Source organism: Homo sapiens, chromosome 2 (genome assembly GCF_000001405.40).
Source record: "Homo sapiens chromosome 2, GRCh38.p14 Primary Assembly".
Lineage (NCBI taxonomy): Eukaryota > Metazoa > Chordata > Mammalia > Primates > Hominidae > Homo > Homo sapiens.
The window spans coordinates 195,765,034-195,781,162 of record NC_000002.12 but is presented as its reverse complement, the minus strand read 5'-3'; the positions used below and the strand labels follow the sequence as shown (position 1 = coordinate 195,781,162).

At 36.3% G+C, this 16,129-nt stretch overlaps 1 protein-coding gene across 6 annotated transcripts in view; it reads left to right on the top strand.

Moving 5' to 3' along the window:
- The window catches only part of DNAH7 (dynein axonemal heavy chain 7), a 331,135-nt gene that overhangs the window by 287,675 nt on the left and 27,331 nt on the right, over nt 1-16,129 (top strand). For all 6 annotated transcript variants that reach the window (XM_011511488.4, XM_017004504.3, XM_011511490.4 and 3 more), the window contains 3 exons: nt 3,178-3,363; nt 5,180-5,317; nt 9,273-9,503. In XM_011511488.4, coding sequence (XP_011509790.1) covers nt 3,178-3,363; nt 5,180-5,317; nt 9,273-9,503 — 555 coding nt within the window. The remainder of the gene's footprint in view (nt 1-3,177; nt 3,364-5,179; nt 5,318-9,272; nt 9,504-16,129) is intronic.

Here is a 16,129-nt window from a genome sequence, read left to right as displayed (position 1 = left end):
GTGTATCATCAAACTCCACTCACATTTGCAGTTGGAAGCATATAAATGTTCTGCAATTCTTCCTGATTTGATTTGTTTTTTTTTTCACAAGGGCTTTGTCACTGACACGTGTTCTCCTAAATTCACTGCCTTAAGTTCTAGTTCTACCAAATAACAAGTCTTATAATTTCCAGCATCTAATTCAATAAATTTCCCCTCTCTAATCACTACTACTTACCCTAGTGCTACTGTTTCTACTTGAAAGGTTTGCTCAAAGTGGGATCACTAGAATGTCAGATCTATGCACTTTAGATTTTAGTAGGTTACTGTAAGGAGGACACAGAAAGCACAAAAATGATGAAAAAATTCTCAAGAGATTACTATATTTTAGTATAAAAATATATATATTTTTTGAGATATATATATATATTTTGAGACAGAGTCTTGCCCTGTTGCCCAGGCTGGAGTGCAGTGGCACGATCTCGGCTCACTGCAACCTCCACCTCCCAGGTTCAAGTGATTCTCATGCCTCAGCCTCCTGAGTAGCTGGGGTTACAGGTGCTTGCTCCACCACATCCAGCTAATTTTTGTATTTTTAGTAGAGATGGGGTTTCACCATGTTGGCCAGGCTGGTATCAAACTCCTGACCTCCAGTGATCTACCTGCCTCGGCCTCCCAAAGTGCTGGGATTACAAGTGTGAGCCACCGCGCCTGGCCTAGCATAAAATATTTTTAAATATTGCTATATTAAACTATCATAAACATCATAGAAGTAAAAGATAAATCAAAATGGATAAAATATTTAAAATTTTATCTGAAAGACTGATTCAGTTTTTACAAAGAGCTTTTGAATAAGAAAAAGAAGATAACCATTTAAATTAGAAAAACATAGATCAGAGTGAATAATTTATAAAATAAGAAATACAAATGGTGAATAAAAATTTTGAGAGTGCCAATGTCAAAATCAAAATTAAAAATAATTATATTGTTTTATTATCAATTATTTTCCTAAATGATAATACTCTGTTTTCTTGAGAGTAGTGAGAAATAGAATTTTCTGTACTGCTAGTGGGTGTGTGAGTATTTATGCTCAGGATAAAATAAATTGCAATGTGAGAAATCAACACCATTGCATTCATAAACTAAAAATTCTATACACTAAAGAACATAATAAAATACTTTTTAAAACTAAGTAGAAAAAATATTTCCACAAATTTGAAAAATAAAAGTCAGTTTATAAAAGAGTATATACAAAGAAGTACTATTAAAACTTTAATAGGGCAGGGTGCAGTGGTTCATGCCTGTAATCCCAGCACTTTGGGAGGCTGAGGCAGTGGATTGCCTGAGCCTGGGAGTTCGAGGCCAGCCTGGGCAACATGGTGAAACCCCACCATTACATAAAATACAAAAATTAGCCGGGCATGGTGGCATATATCTGTAGTCTCAGCTACTTGAGAGGCTGAGGTAGGAGGATCTCTTTAACCCTGGAGGTGGAGACAGTGAGCCCTTATCACACCACTGTACTCCAGCCTGGGTGACAGAGCAAGACTCTGACTCAAAAAACAAACAAAAAAAACCCTACAATACTTTAATAGGAAAAGTAGATAGGAGGCTAGTTTAAAAAAAAAACAACAAATATTATAAAACATATGAAATAATTGTGGACCTCACTATTGTTCTAGAAATGCAAATTAAAATAATATTATTGACCTACCATATTAGCAAAGATTTTAAAACTGGCTGCTACAAATGCTTCAGCTTTTTGGAAAAGCAGACTGGTAATGTTTATAAATTGCTTTTTATAAGCTTCTTTCTTTGGAAAGAAAATAGTAATTTCCTTTTCAGGAATCTAGACTGAAGAATCATTAGACATTTTAAGAAATGTATATTTAATGAACATGATTCAGCACACTAAAAAATTAGAAGCAATGAAAGTGTTTAATATTAGAAAACAGTTATTAAAATAGTATTTTCAAAGAATGTTTTATGAAATTGTAAAAGAAGTCATATAGGAATTTGTGGAAAAAAAAGTGTACAGTCTGGCTGGGAGCGGTACGTCACGCCTGTAATCCCAGCACTTTGGGAGACCAAGGCAGGCGGATCATGAGGTCAGGAGATCGAGATCATCCTGGCTAACACGGTGAAACCCCGTCTCTACTAAAAATACAAAAAATTAGCTGGGCGTGGTGGCACATGCCTGTAGTCCCAGCTACTCGGGAGGCTGAGGCAGGAGAAATGCTTGAACCCGGGAGGTGGAGGTTGCAGTGAGCCGAGATCGTGCCATTGCACTCCAGCCTGGGCAACAAGAGTGAAACTCAGTCTCAAAAAAAAAAAAAAAAGTGTACAATTGTGTATATGTATATATATGATTCAAATTGTCAAATATATATGGATATTGAAAGGTGGTGAAGTAACACTGCTGATCTCTGAGTTTTATTATATATATATATGTGTATATATATATGTGTATATATATGTGTATATATATATGTGTATATATATGTGTGTGTGTGTATATATATATATATATATATATATATTTATTTATTTATTTTTTTTTTTTTTCAGACAGGGTCTTGCTCTGTCACCCAGGCTGGAGAGTAGTGGCACAATTATTGTTCACTGCAGCTTCGATCCTCCTACCTCAGCCCTTTCCCTAGCTGGGACTATAGGCATGTGCTACTATACCTGGTTACTTTTTTTTTTTTGGTAGGGACAGGGTCTCCCCATGTTGCCCAGGCTGTTCTCAAACTACTGGGCTCAAGTGATTCTCTCGCCTTGGCCTCTCAAAGTGCTGGGATTACAGTTGTGAGCCACCATGCCCGGCCCTCTGAATTACACTCTATCTGCTTTGCATGTCACTCAGCTGTGCAAAGTTTTCATAGATGATATTATGATCTAATTCATTCGTATCTGGCACATAGTAGGTGTTGAAATAATTTTGGTTGAATAGACAATAAATTCACAACTTAATAGAGGAATTCCATTCTCAGCATTGACTGGATGGAAATAAAAAGCCAGAAAAGAAGTGAACGGCCCTGGGAAAAATGGCAACAATTAGCAGGGAAGCATACGAAGGGAAGTTGTGTTAATGCGAACTTTTTGTAAGATGTTTAATTTAGTAATAGGAAAAAACAAGAAACACGATTCTGTATAACATGCTACTGATAACTGGTTGACTGACACGCACTATTTTAGGAACTGCCGTATGAGGCTCTGCGGTACATGACTGGCGAATGCAATTACGGAGGCAGAGTGACCGATGACTGGGACCGGCGCACGCTGCGCAGCATTCTAAACAAATTCTTCAATCCCGAATTAGTTGAAAATTCAGACTATAAGTTCGACTCAAGTGGCATCTATTTTGTTCCTCCTTCTGGTGATGTAAGTATGCCCTTCAAAAAAACTAAAAGCAGTAAGACATGAAATTATTTTGGTAGTGATGATATTTTTTAAATGGTGATTTTGCTGCAGGCCTTGTTTTTTTGTTACCCTTGTCTGTGCTTTCTTCAGTCATATAGGGATAAAACAAAGCTCACGCTATAGGTGGAGTTAGGGGTTTCCTGTTCACTGTAATGTAAGAAGTATCAGAAACGTGTCTCACGCTTTTTCAGTGACCTGAAGTTCTGTCATCATAAACTCAGTCCTTTGGCTAAAAAGACATTGTCCCCAATTAAAATGAAAATACATAAGAGATGGTATTAGCAAAATATTATTAGCAGTAGTAGTTAATATTTATAATTATTTGGAAGTCAGTTGCAAGTAATTATCTCACTAGAGCATCAAATTAACATTGGTATTATTATTTTATCCCTTTTACAAATGAGAAAGCAGGTTCATTACAGTAGAATAATTTGCCCAAGGCCACACAGGTAAGAAGGTGGCAGCGAGTCACAGACCCACCTGCAGCACAAGACCAAGATTCCCTTCTGCTCTTCTCCAGTCCTGTCCACTGCCTTCTGATGATCACAGTGGATTTCTAGAGATTGCTAAGACAATCAAGTTGGTTCTCATGTTATTCCCAGAAGTCAAAGGGCATATATTGAAAGTTAAACACAAGCAACAGAAACACATACTGTAACCCCCCAACCCTAACCTCATCTTCCACTAGGATTAATGCTAGCCAAGGGCAGATGTTGGTATAGATAAAGGGAAAAATCACTCCCAAAGCCTAGGTCACTGTTGGGTACAGCAAGTCAACATGGGAGCTGGGGTAACAAGATCTCCAATGATGAATTGCCAAGTGAGAAAAAAGCAAGATGAAGTAAGGTGTTTGCAAAGTGACCCAAATCATAAAGCCATCCATGACCAAACCCCCTTTGCCATGTGTGTGTGTGGATGTTTGTATATGATTCTATGAGCATCAAGGAAGGTATGAAATTTTAATAGACGTCCATTTAAATAAAATATAAAATATGTGTGTATGCATAAAAAGAAGTATAATGTTAATGGTGATTATCAGAATAATAGAATTTTAAATAATTTTTACTTTTTTGAATTGGGTGAATTTTTTACAGTAAGAGTAAACAGAATAATCAGAGTAAATCAGAAAAAAAATATTTTTATTGTGATAAGAATAATCATCAGCAAAATATGACACAAAGATTTCTCTGTAGGTAATTTCTAAATGAAGTTACCAGGATTCCCCTCCCCCCCATTAAAAAACCCATTCCAATTGAAAGGTACATTTTCTTTTTCTCTGTAAATACATTCTTTTTTTTTCCTCTTTTCTTTTTTTTTGAGATGGAGTTTCACTCTTCTCGCCCAGGCTGGAGTGTAATGGTGCAATCTCAGCTCACCGCAACTTCTGTCTCCTGGGTTCAAGTGATTCTCCTGTCTCAGCCTCCTGAGTAGCTGGGATCACAGGTGTGTGCCACCACACCCGACTAATTTTGTATTTTTAGGAGAGACGGGGTTTCTCCATGTTGGTCAGGCTGGTCTCAAACTCCCGACCTCAGGTAATCCACCCGCCTCGGCCTCCCAAAGTGCTGGGATTACAGGCGTGAGCCACCGCGCCTAGCTGTTCATATTTTTTTTTAAACTTTGGCCCAGGCTGAAAGAAAGTGAAAGCACTCAATGTCCAGTGTCACAGGCCTATCCAGTCAATAACTTGAGTATTGAAAACTGCCTCTTTTCTGTGAAAAGTTCTAGAAAGTAATTGATTTCTAACCTCCTGACTTCTTGTTATTCATCTCTGCAGCACAAAAGCTACATCGAATACACAAAGACTCTGCCACTGACCCCAGCACCAGAAATCTTTGGGATGAATGCCAATGCAGATATCACTAAGGATCAGTCAGAAACTCAGCTGCTATTTGATAACATTCTTCTTACACAGGTGTGTGATCTGTATAGGACCTGGATTCTGAGGCCTGGGAAGGATGCTCCCCAGGCACGTGTGCCAGCACTGAACAGGCTTCCTTACACAATTCTGTTCAAGTGGAGAAACATTTAAAGGAAAAGACAAAAATACATACATAACTTAAATAAGGATTTGAACACTAAGTACCTGAACGTGTGTTTTTTTTTTTTTTTCATCTATCTTTTTTTGGGAACCCAGATATATTCTTTAAGTATCATTCTGCTTCTAGGAGTTTCATTTTGCCTTTCTTGCCCTACCTAAATACATCATACATTGTGTCCCTTTTAAATTTCTTTAAAGAGGAAGAAGAATTGCAAAGATACTTGGGAAGCAGTTTGATGAGAGAATTCATCTAAAATTTTACCTATTTTATTTTCCAGTCCCCTAGTATTTCAACAGCTGTTCCAGAACATTTAAACTGATTTACATGGACACAGTTTCATTCACACTCATATTTTTTCAGATTTATATTAGTATAACATTTAAAATATAATTGCAATAGTAAGTACAAAATGAATTTAAAAGTATAGGAGAAGAATTTGTAGATGCAGCTCTCCTGGAGAGTGCATAAGCGCACTGGGGTGTGGGAAAGCAATCTGCAAAGACACCAGAATTTAGCTGCCGTGAGCACAGGTCAGTACATTTTAATGAAGAACATCTGCTAATCTTGCTTGTCTATTAAGAGATAGATTGGGTTTATCACAATTCAGAGGTAAAGAGACCAGAACTACAGAGCTTGGAGAGCAAGTTAATGATGACAAGACTTTGTATTTAACTAATTTATCTTGGAAAAAATAAAAGAGGAAGCTATCTTGTATTGTTATTCCTTTAGAAGATATGCTCAGTTGTTAATTTGATTTGTTTTTGAAAGGAAATTAGTCCAAATGGCAAGAGTTCCCATAATGATTCAATAAAATTTTGATGAATTAAGGAAGAATAATCAGTCAAGCAAATTATCCTATTAACTGAATTGTAACTGATCTTTTTGTGGCATCTCAGAGTAAAAATGGCAACAGTTAATACTTTTGTATAGTGCTTACTCTGTACTAGTGCTGTTCCAAGTGCTATTATGTATAACAATGCAATGCTAATGACAGTCCCTCGAAGTAGAGTCTAACTATTACTATTCCCATTTTACAGTGAGAAAAGTGAGGCACAGAAAGATTAAGCAGTTTGCCCAAAGTCAGCTAGTACGATTTCAAATCAGGACTCAAAACCAAGCGGTCTGGCTCCTACCAGTTTGGCTCCAGAATCTTGTGTTCTAAACCACTGTGCTATATTCTCTTTCCAGATTCTGAAAGGCAGATAGCCAGAGATTCTTAAAAAGCTAAAAATTAGAAGGATAATGTGGACTATTCATTAGTAATAGCATAATGGAATAATGGAAGAGTCCATGGAACTCCTATCTCTGGTCTACTCTACTATGACATTTTCTAATAAGGGAAAAGGAACAAAGACTATTTTTACATCCATTTTAGATATTGATAGCACTAAAATCAGTTATTGCCTGGGCATAAAAGTATATGTGCAAACATGAATGAGTAGCTCTTTAGGAGCATTAGATTGCATGTAATACACAACAGTCTGACAACAGGACATTAACAGTGTCTTTTGGCTTTACTTAAACTTGACGGGGTGTGCCACATTACAGAATACGTAAAACAGTGGGGTCATTCCAACAGAAAATGACTCTGAACCAGACAAATAAGTTTAAATACACAAGGGGTATCTTTTCAGTAAATAATTAAACAGCCTCTTTCAATCCTCAAACTCAGGTTGGCGAATACAATTATAGTTATGGGTGAGCAGTAGTTCAGTGATTCTAGATTGGGTTTATCACAATTCAGAGGTAAAGAGACCAGAACTGCAGAGCTTGGAGAGCAAGTTAATGATGACAAGACTTTTTGTATTTAACTAATTTATCTTGGAAAAAATAAAAGAGGAAGCTATCAGAGCTAAGAAGTTTGCTTGTGCAGAGCTCCTTTGCTTGTGGTTAACTGCCACACACTATTTAGAATAGAAAAATTGTTTCAACTTAGAATATTATAAAACTAGATAATAGTCTAGGATCTCTGAAAAGGTTAAACTTTCTGATGTCTCTGAAAATGAATTCCACTTATCTTTAAGAGGAAAATAACCCTTAGAAGATTCCAGATGCTATTTGTGATAACTCTAAAGAAAGATAGTAAAGAAGAAAAAGCTAAGATAAATAATTATAAATAAATAGGACCCAATTGCTCTTAATTATCAGTATCAGTTGGATATTACTTTCAAAAACCTATCACCGTAATCATGTGATCTTTGTGTGTGAGAAATAGGTAAGGGGAATGTTTGCGTTATTAAATTTTTTTTTTTTTACGTTTTTTGAAGAACCATAGACCTGGATTTGTTTTTTTTTTTTGCAGAGGCACAGCTCTTGTTAGAATATGGGAATATTTTAATGAGTTTTTGCTGCCTTTTATGCACACCAAAATACTACTGGAAATCAGCATAGATTCTTTAAATATAATGGAATTAGATATTTCATTAGTTTTAGCCAAATACTTTTCGTTCTCTATGATTTGTTTTTTATATTTTGTTGTAAACCCGGTACTATGGAATCATAATAAAGGATTATTATACGAGCATATCTCTTTTTTAATAGCCCATAATTAAAATGTACCAACATTTAATTATTTTATTGTGTAACTGTATAGGATATTATGGTGGTATGTGGTAAGTAGTGTTAAAATCACAGTAGAGGCCGGGCACGGTGGCTCATGCCTATAATCCCAGCACTTTGGGAGGCCGAGGCAGGCGGATCACCTGAGGCCAGGAGTTTGAGACCAGCCTGGCCAACATGGTGAAACACTGTCTCTACTAAAAATACAAAAATTAGCCAGGCGTGGTAGCAGTCCCCTATAATCCCAGCTATTTGGGAGACCGAGGCAGGAGAAGTGCTTGAACCCGGGAGGCAGAGGTTGCAGCGAACGGAAATCGTGCCACGGCACTCCAGCCTGGGCAACAGAGTGAGACTACATCTCAAAAAAAAAAAAAAAAAGTCACAGTAGAAACTTAGGTAAAAATAATTAATATTAAAAAACAATAAAAAAGTTAATATTTTCAGAATCAATTTTGAGCATGTTAATATTTATAGTACAGAAACCAGGAAACAAAATCTAAAAGAAGACTAAACACAGTTTCCTTTGACTGGTAAAACATGAGATGTATTTATTTATGTTCTAATAGTACTTGTTTTCTTTCAACACATACCCCATATTCATTTGTTCTGAGGATTTAATTTTTTTTTCAGAAAATATAGATTCATTTACACAATGCCACCATAAATATAAAAAACAAAAATGGAATTGAAATTCTCCTTCCTTGCTTCCAACGTGAATCACTAAAGTCTGTCTTTCGTCCATAACTCTTCCAGCTGCTTAGAGGAGATGAGCTTATTTTCTTTCTCTCCTGGTTCAAGGAGAAAACTATATCTCTGCTTTTGGCAACCAGTAGACACCAGAGTTATTGGCAAATATATTTTGTGGCATGCTTTCTCAAAGCAAGATGAGATTTCCCCCATCTGGGTTTTAATGCCCGCCATCGCTTGGCCACTCCACCAGTGCAATGCTTTTTCTTCCACTATCTGCAGCATCTGCAACTCCCCCTGTACCCTGGCAGCCAAGCATACAGCTTATTTGCTTTCTCCAGATCCTCTTTTGCCTCTGAACACATTACATGCCCTTATTCCTCCTCTCTAACAATAGTTTTCCCTTGAAAATCCATCCTCCTGCCTGTTACCATCACTTTAATAAATCTTGTGTGGAGATGGATCATGGATAAAATAGAGAGCAATGTTCTTTCTTATAAAGATTTACCTTAGGATTTTTCCTATTCAGCTATTGTTAGACCTTTATGAGGATTTTTGAGTTATAGTTTGGATTCTTCATAGTCTCGTTCAGCAGGTGCTGGTGCAAAATCATCAGATGAAGTAGTGAATGAGGTCGCTAGTGACATCTTGGGCAAACTTCCAAACAACTTCGACATCGAGGCTGCCATGAGGAGGTACCCAACAACTTATACTCAGAGCATGAACACTGTACTTGTCCAAGAGATGGGACGGTTCAATAAGTTACTGAAGACCATAAGAGATTCGTGCGTAAATATTCAAAAAGCAATCAAGGTAAGGTGAAAAACACCAAAAAAAACCCCCATTAAATTATATATAGCATTCATTTATTTAGCAAATACTTGTTTAGCACAAATACTGTATAAGCACTGTTTTGGGTTCTGGGGATAAATAAGATTAGAAAATAATTCTTGCCCTTGAGGAGCTTATAGAATTCTGGGAGTGAGAGTTAATAAACAGGGAAATAAGTATAGAGGATGTTAGATAGGGATAGGACCCTGGATTGGATATATGCTAAGGAGACACAGTGTGGTAAGGAATGAGCCCTTGCCTTCATAAAGCACATTTTTTCATTTATTATTATTATTTTTTTAGAGATGGGGTCTCACTCTGTCACCCAGACTGGAGTATAGTCATGTGATTACCGCTCACTGCTGCCATGAACCCCTGGGCTCAAGGGATTCCTTTGCCTAACCTTCCTGAGTAGCTTAGATTAGAGGTGTGAGCCACCAAGCCTGGCTATTTTATTCTATTTTATTTTATTTTATTTTTATTTTTTTAGAGATGGGGTCTCGCCATCCTGCTCAGGCTGGTTTTGAACTGGGCTCAAGTGATACTCCCGCCTTGGCCTCCCAAAGTGCAGGGACTATAGGTGTGAGCCACCAACTCCTGGCCCAGGCTCACATTTTAGTGAGGGAGGCAAACTGAGAAATAAACTGGCCAAGTGTGGTGGCTCATGCCTGTAATCCTAGCACTTTGGGAGGCCAAGGTGGGAGGACTGCTTGAGTTTGAGAACTTCCTTGGCAACACAGCAAGACCTTGTCTCTTCTGAAAAAAAAAAAAAAAATGCTGGGCATTGTGGTGTATGCTACTCAGGAGGCTGAGACAGGAGGATCACTGGAGACTGGGAGGTTAAGGCTGCAGTAAGCTACGATCCTACCCAGCCCAGGCAACAGAGTGAGACCCTGTGTCAAACTAAAAATAAACAAATACATACAAATTTTGGTAAGTGATAAGTTTTATGGAGAAAAATTAAACAAGATTAGGGAGTAGAGAATTATGGGTGAGAAGCTCTCTTAGGTTGGGTCAGGTCCCTCTGAGGAATGACTCTTGGAGAGAGACCTAAATTACGTTGAGGGGCAATCCATGGAACGTTTCAGGGAAGAGTATTTCAGGCAGAGGGTATAACACAAGTGTAAAGCCAAGAGAAAACAAGCTGGGCCTGGTCCAGGAACACAAGTAGAAAGGCTGATTGGCTAGAGTGGAGTGAGCATGAGACAGACCCTAATACTAGAGAGAAGACGCCAGAGGCTGGATCGTGATGGTGTTAGCCATAGTTAGGGTCTTAAATTTTGTTTTATTTGATTTTAAAGTATAAATATAAAGAGAAGGCTTCAGAGGGTTTTAAGCACTGAAGTGAAATGACCCATTCTACATTTTTAAAAGTTTACTCTAACCACTGCTGAAAGGATTATGGGGAAACAGCAGTACAGACAGAGACCAATGATATGATTGAGAAATCCAGCTGAACTGGTCTCTTGTTCAGCAACTCCCTCTGCATTGGAGGCAGAGGGAGGTGGCTGCTTATGAGTTATTACTGAAAGAGGAGTCTACTATGCTGGCTGAAGATTGATGTGTGTGTGAGCAAGAGAGTAGTTAATGATAACTCCTAAATGTTTGGCCTAAGCAAGTGGAAAGTCTGGGCAAGGAACAGATTTGATGTAGAAAATCAAGAATTATATTTTGGTCATATTAATTTTGAAATGCCTGGTAGACTCAATGGGGAGGTCGAGTTGTTAGATACCTCCTTTAGAGTTCAAGAGGGAAGTCAAGGCTGGTGATAAATTTCAGAGTCTGTATCACGTTGATTATATTTGAAAATAAAATGTATAAATTATTTCAAATATTTTGGTAGTACTGATGAGCATTTTTCGGTGGCAAGCAGGTCTATGCAAACCTATCCACAAAGGCTGAAAAACTGAGAGGCCAAAGAAAGAAGCTGGACAAATCCAGTTTCTCAGAAAGGAACATTTAATAGTGACTTACGAACAGAAGTCATAATGTCCAGGCAGCCGTGAGAGGAGATAGTGGGTCCTAACACCTTTACCCCCTAGACCCAGGGCTGATGCATCATAGGGAAGGAATGTGTAGGACAATTGAAGACGATCCCTCAGGGAAAGGCAATAATGCTATGTGAATCTGCCCAATGGCAGGGTTTAATGTCAAGGTTGTTTTGACCTAAGGGCAGGATTTATGGTAACAGTGGATAAAGTAGAAATCTTAAAGGCATTCTCAGCAGAGGGGTTAATGAGATGCCAACATGGCAGACTGGCATCCAAGATGGAGTTGCTGGCCTAGTGCAGTGGCTCACACATGTAATACGAGAACTTTAGGAGGCTGAGTTGGGAGGATTGTTTGAGCCCAGGAATTCGAGACCACCTTGACAACAGTAAGACCCCATCACTAAAAAGAAATTACAAGATGGAGTTGCTTTATTCTCCGCAAGCATAGATTACTTTGAAGCATCAATTTCTTTCACCCAACTCATATGAACTACTTATAATGTCCTTTCTCATGCCATTCTTTCATCATTCTCTTCATATTTCACTAATTTGAGGAAGAAAATATTTCAAATTTGAAAAACCTAACTTGACATGATATCTGTGACCAATGTAGCAATGTAAGACCTCATATTAAACTCATTTCTTTTTCCAATATCTCAGTGAAAGACACAATCTAACTGGGACAATTTTATATCACATTCTCTGGTATAATGCTAAAACCAGATGTATTTTTAATGGCAATATCCAATACATAAGACAAAACCTATTTCTTACAGTTACACAAAAGGTAAATTATGACAATAAATTTAGCAAACGAACATGTTGAACCTATATATTTGTAAAAGATCAAAGCTCTACTAAAACTTAAAAGTTCAATATTGTAAAAATGTCAAAGAATTGCAATTATAGAAGGACTCAATTTTAATTTACCCAGGATTCCAGCAAATATTTAAATACTTAGCAGTATTCATTGTTGGCAGGTTAGTCATCAGGCATTCTCATATGTGTTATTGGAAATGTAAATTGTTGAACCTCTTTGAAGTACAACTTGGTAATACCAGTAAAAATGTTAAATCTTCTTTATCCTAAATATATATATATAGATACATGCACACGTATGCAAAGCTATAAGCACAGGAATGGGCAGCACTGCATTGTTTCAATAAGTGATTAATCTAAATATTATCCAGTGGTTATGATAATATACACGATGAAATGCCCATCAATTAAGAGTGAGATAGTTTTATAGTTGCTGATGTGGAAAGATGCCAAGACATACTGATAAATGAAAAAAGGTGTATAATTTTATGTATTGTTTGACTCAATTTGTGATTTCTTAAAAATATGCATATTCTCTGTAAAATTATATTTTCCTAAATTTGCCATATTTGCCTTATCATTTGCCCTCTGCTTTTCTCTATATATATCTTAAAGATATATATTTATAATATATATATAAAAGATATATATATTAAAGATATAAATATATATACCCATATATAAGTGTTTTCTGAATTATTTGAGAATAATGCTTGCTTATACCCCTTTATCTCTTAATACTTTTAAGGTGTACTTTCCAAAAACAAGAATATTCTTTTACAATATCACAATACAGTTATCAAATTTAAGAATAAAAACCTAAATGTAATATTTTTATCTAATCAGCAATCAAATACTTCAATTTTTTCAATCATTCCAGTTCTGTCTTTTCTAGCAAAATCTATTCTGACACAGATTTCAGACCAGGATCAAATATTTCATTCCGTTGCCATGTTTCTTTATCTTCTTTATTCCAAGACAGTTTCTTAGCCTTTCTTTATCTTTGATAATATTGACATTTTTTAAGAATACAGAGCAATCATTTTATAAAATGTCCTGTGTTATTTTTTAAGTGAAATAAAAAACTAGTTGGCAGTTTTTAAAGAGTGAAACAATAAACAAAAGAAATTACACATTATAATTATGGGATAAAGCTGAAGTTACACCCAAGAAAATTTATAGTCTTAACTTTATTTTTAATTTAATTATTAAACAAGAAAGATTGAAAAGAAGTGAATTATTTGGCTTAAGAGACAAGAAAAAGGATATCCTGTAAGTTCAGTACTAGAATAAATAAATTTTAAATGCTAAAACTGAACAAAAAAAAGGAGGAGGAAATTTTGAGGAGGAGGAGTAAAGGTATAGAAGTGTCGAACAACTCCATTTACAAATTGAGCTAACTGGTGTATATGGAACACTGATTCCCACAAGAGTATAATATACTTTTCTTTTCAAATTAACATGGAACATTTACAAAGAATGACTATATAAAAACTATAAAACAAGTCTCAATAAATTAAAAGGTCTCAGATCATCAGACTATATTCTCTGATCAGAGAGGAATTAAGCTAGTAATGAATAACAAAAGCACAATGAGAAATACCCATATATTTGGAAATTTAGTAAAACACTTCTTAATAACTCACAGCTTAAAAAATTTAAATGAAAATTTAATAATAATTTCTGTTAAATTAGAGTGAACAGATATCAACATGCCAAAAATTGGAGAATGCAGCTTCAAATATATGTTAGAAAAACAAAAAGCATAATAAAATAAAGACAAATTAATGAAATAGAAAACAAACATAATAGACTCAACAAAGCCAAATAGTCCTTATTTTAAGACTAACAGAAGTGACAAAGCAAAAAAAGAGAAGTAACCAGAAACTAATATCAACAATGGAAATGAAGTAATCAAAATAGACACTATAGTCTAAGAGATCTGAAGATGACATCATGAAAACATTATGCCAATACATTTTACTTATTTATTTCTTATTTTTGTGGTTATATAGTAGATGTATATATTTGTGGGATACATGAGATATTCTCATACAGGCATACAATGAATAATAATTACATCAGGGTAAATGGGGTATCGATCACCTCAAACATGGATCCTTTGTGTTACAAACAATGAATTATTCTCTTTTAGTTATTTTTAAATGTGCAATTAAATTATTGACTGTAGTCACTCTGTTGTGCCATCAAATACTAGATCTCCTTCATTCTTTCATTTTTTAAAATATTCATTAACCATCCCTACTATTAACCCTACCTACCACTACTCTACCCAACATCTGGTAGCCATCATTCTACTCTCTAACTCCACAAGTTCAATTGTTTTAATATTTAGCTTCCATGGCCTGTGCATGGTAGCTCACGCCTGTAATCCCAGCACTTTGGGAACCGGAGGCCAGTGGATCACCTGAGGTCAGGAGTTTGAGACCAGCCTGGCCAACAGGGCGAAACCCGTCTCTACTAAAAATATAAAAATTGGCATGGTGGGAGATGCCTGTAATCCCAGCTATTTGGAAGGCTGAGGCAGGCGGATCGCTTGAACCAGGGAGGCGGAGGTTGCAGTGAGCCAAGATTGTGCCACTGCCCTCCAGCCTGGGTGACAGAGCAAGACTCTGTCTCAAAAAAAAAAAAAAAAAAAAAAAATTAGCTCCCACAAATTAAACGAGAACATGCAAAGTTTGTCCTTTAGTGCCTGGCTTTTTTCGCTTAACATAATGATCTCAGGTTCCATCCATTTTGTTGCAAATGACAGGATCTCATTCTTTTTATGACTGAATAATACACTGTTGTGTATAAGTACCACGTTTTCTTCATCTGTTCCTTTGTTGATGGACACAGGTTGCTTTCATATCTTGGCTTTTGTGAGTAGTGCGGCAATAAACATGGGAGTGCAGATATATCTTCAATATACTGATTTCCTTTCTTTGGGTATATATAGCAGTAGGATTGCTGGATCATATGGTAGCTCTCGTTTTAGTTTTTTAAGGAATCTCCAAACTGTTCTCCACAGTGGTTGTACTAATTTACATTCTCACCAACAGTGTACAAGCGTTCCCTTTTCTCCACATTCTCACCTGCATTTGTTACTGTCTGTCTTTTGGATATAAGCCATTTTAACTAGGGCGAGATGATATCTTATTGTAGTTTTGATTTGGGTTTCTCTGATGATCAGTGACATTGAGCACCTTTCTGTATGCCTTTTTGCCATTTGTATGTCTTCTTTTGAGAAATGTCTATTCAGATCTTTTGCCCATTTTAAAATTGGATTATTAGAGTTTTTCCTACAGAGTTGTTTGACCATCTTATATATTCTGGTTCTTAATCTCTCATCAGATAGGTAGTTTGCAAATATTTTCTCCCATTCTCTGTGTTCTCTGTTCATTTTATTGATTGCTTCTTTTGCTATGGACAAGCTTTTTAATTGGTGTGATCCCATTTGTCTACTTTTGCTTTGTTTGTCTGTGCCTGTGGAGTATTACTCAAGGAATCTTTGCCCAATCCAAGGTCCTGGAGAGCTTCTTCAATGTTTCCTCACAGTAGATTCATAGTTTGAGGTCTTAGATTTAAGCCTTTAATCCATTTTAACTTTTTTAATATGGCAAGATGGGGGTCTGGTTTCACTTTTCTGCATATGAATATCCAGATTTCCCAGCACCATTTATTGAAGAGACTGTCAACTAAAGTATGTTCTTGGCAACTTTGTCAAAAATGAGTTCACTGTAGATGTATGGATTTATCTATAGGTTCTCTCTCCTGTTCTATTGGGCTGTGTGTCTG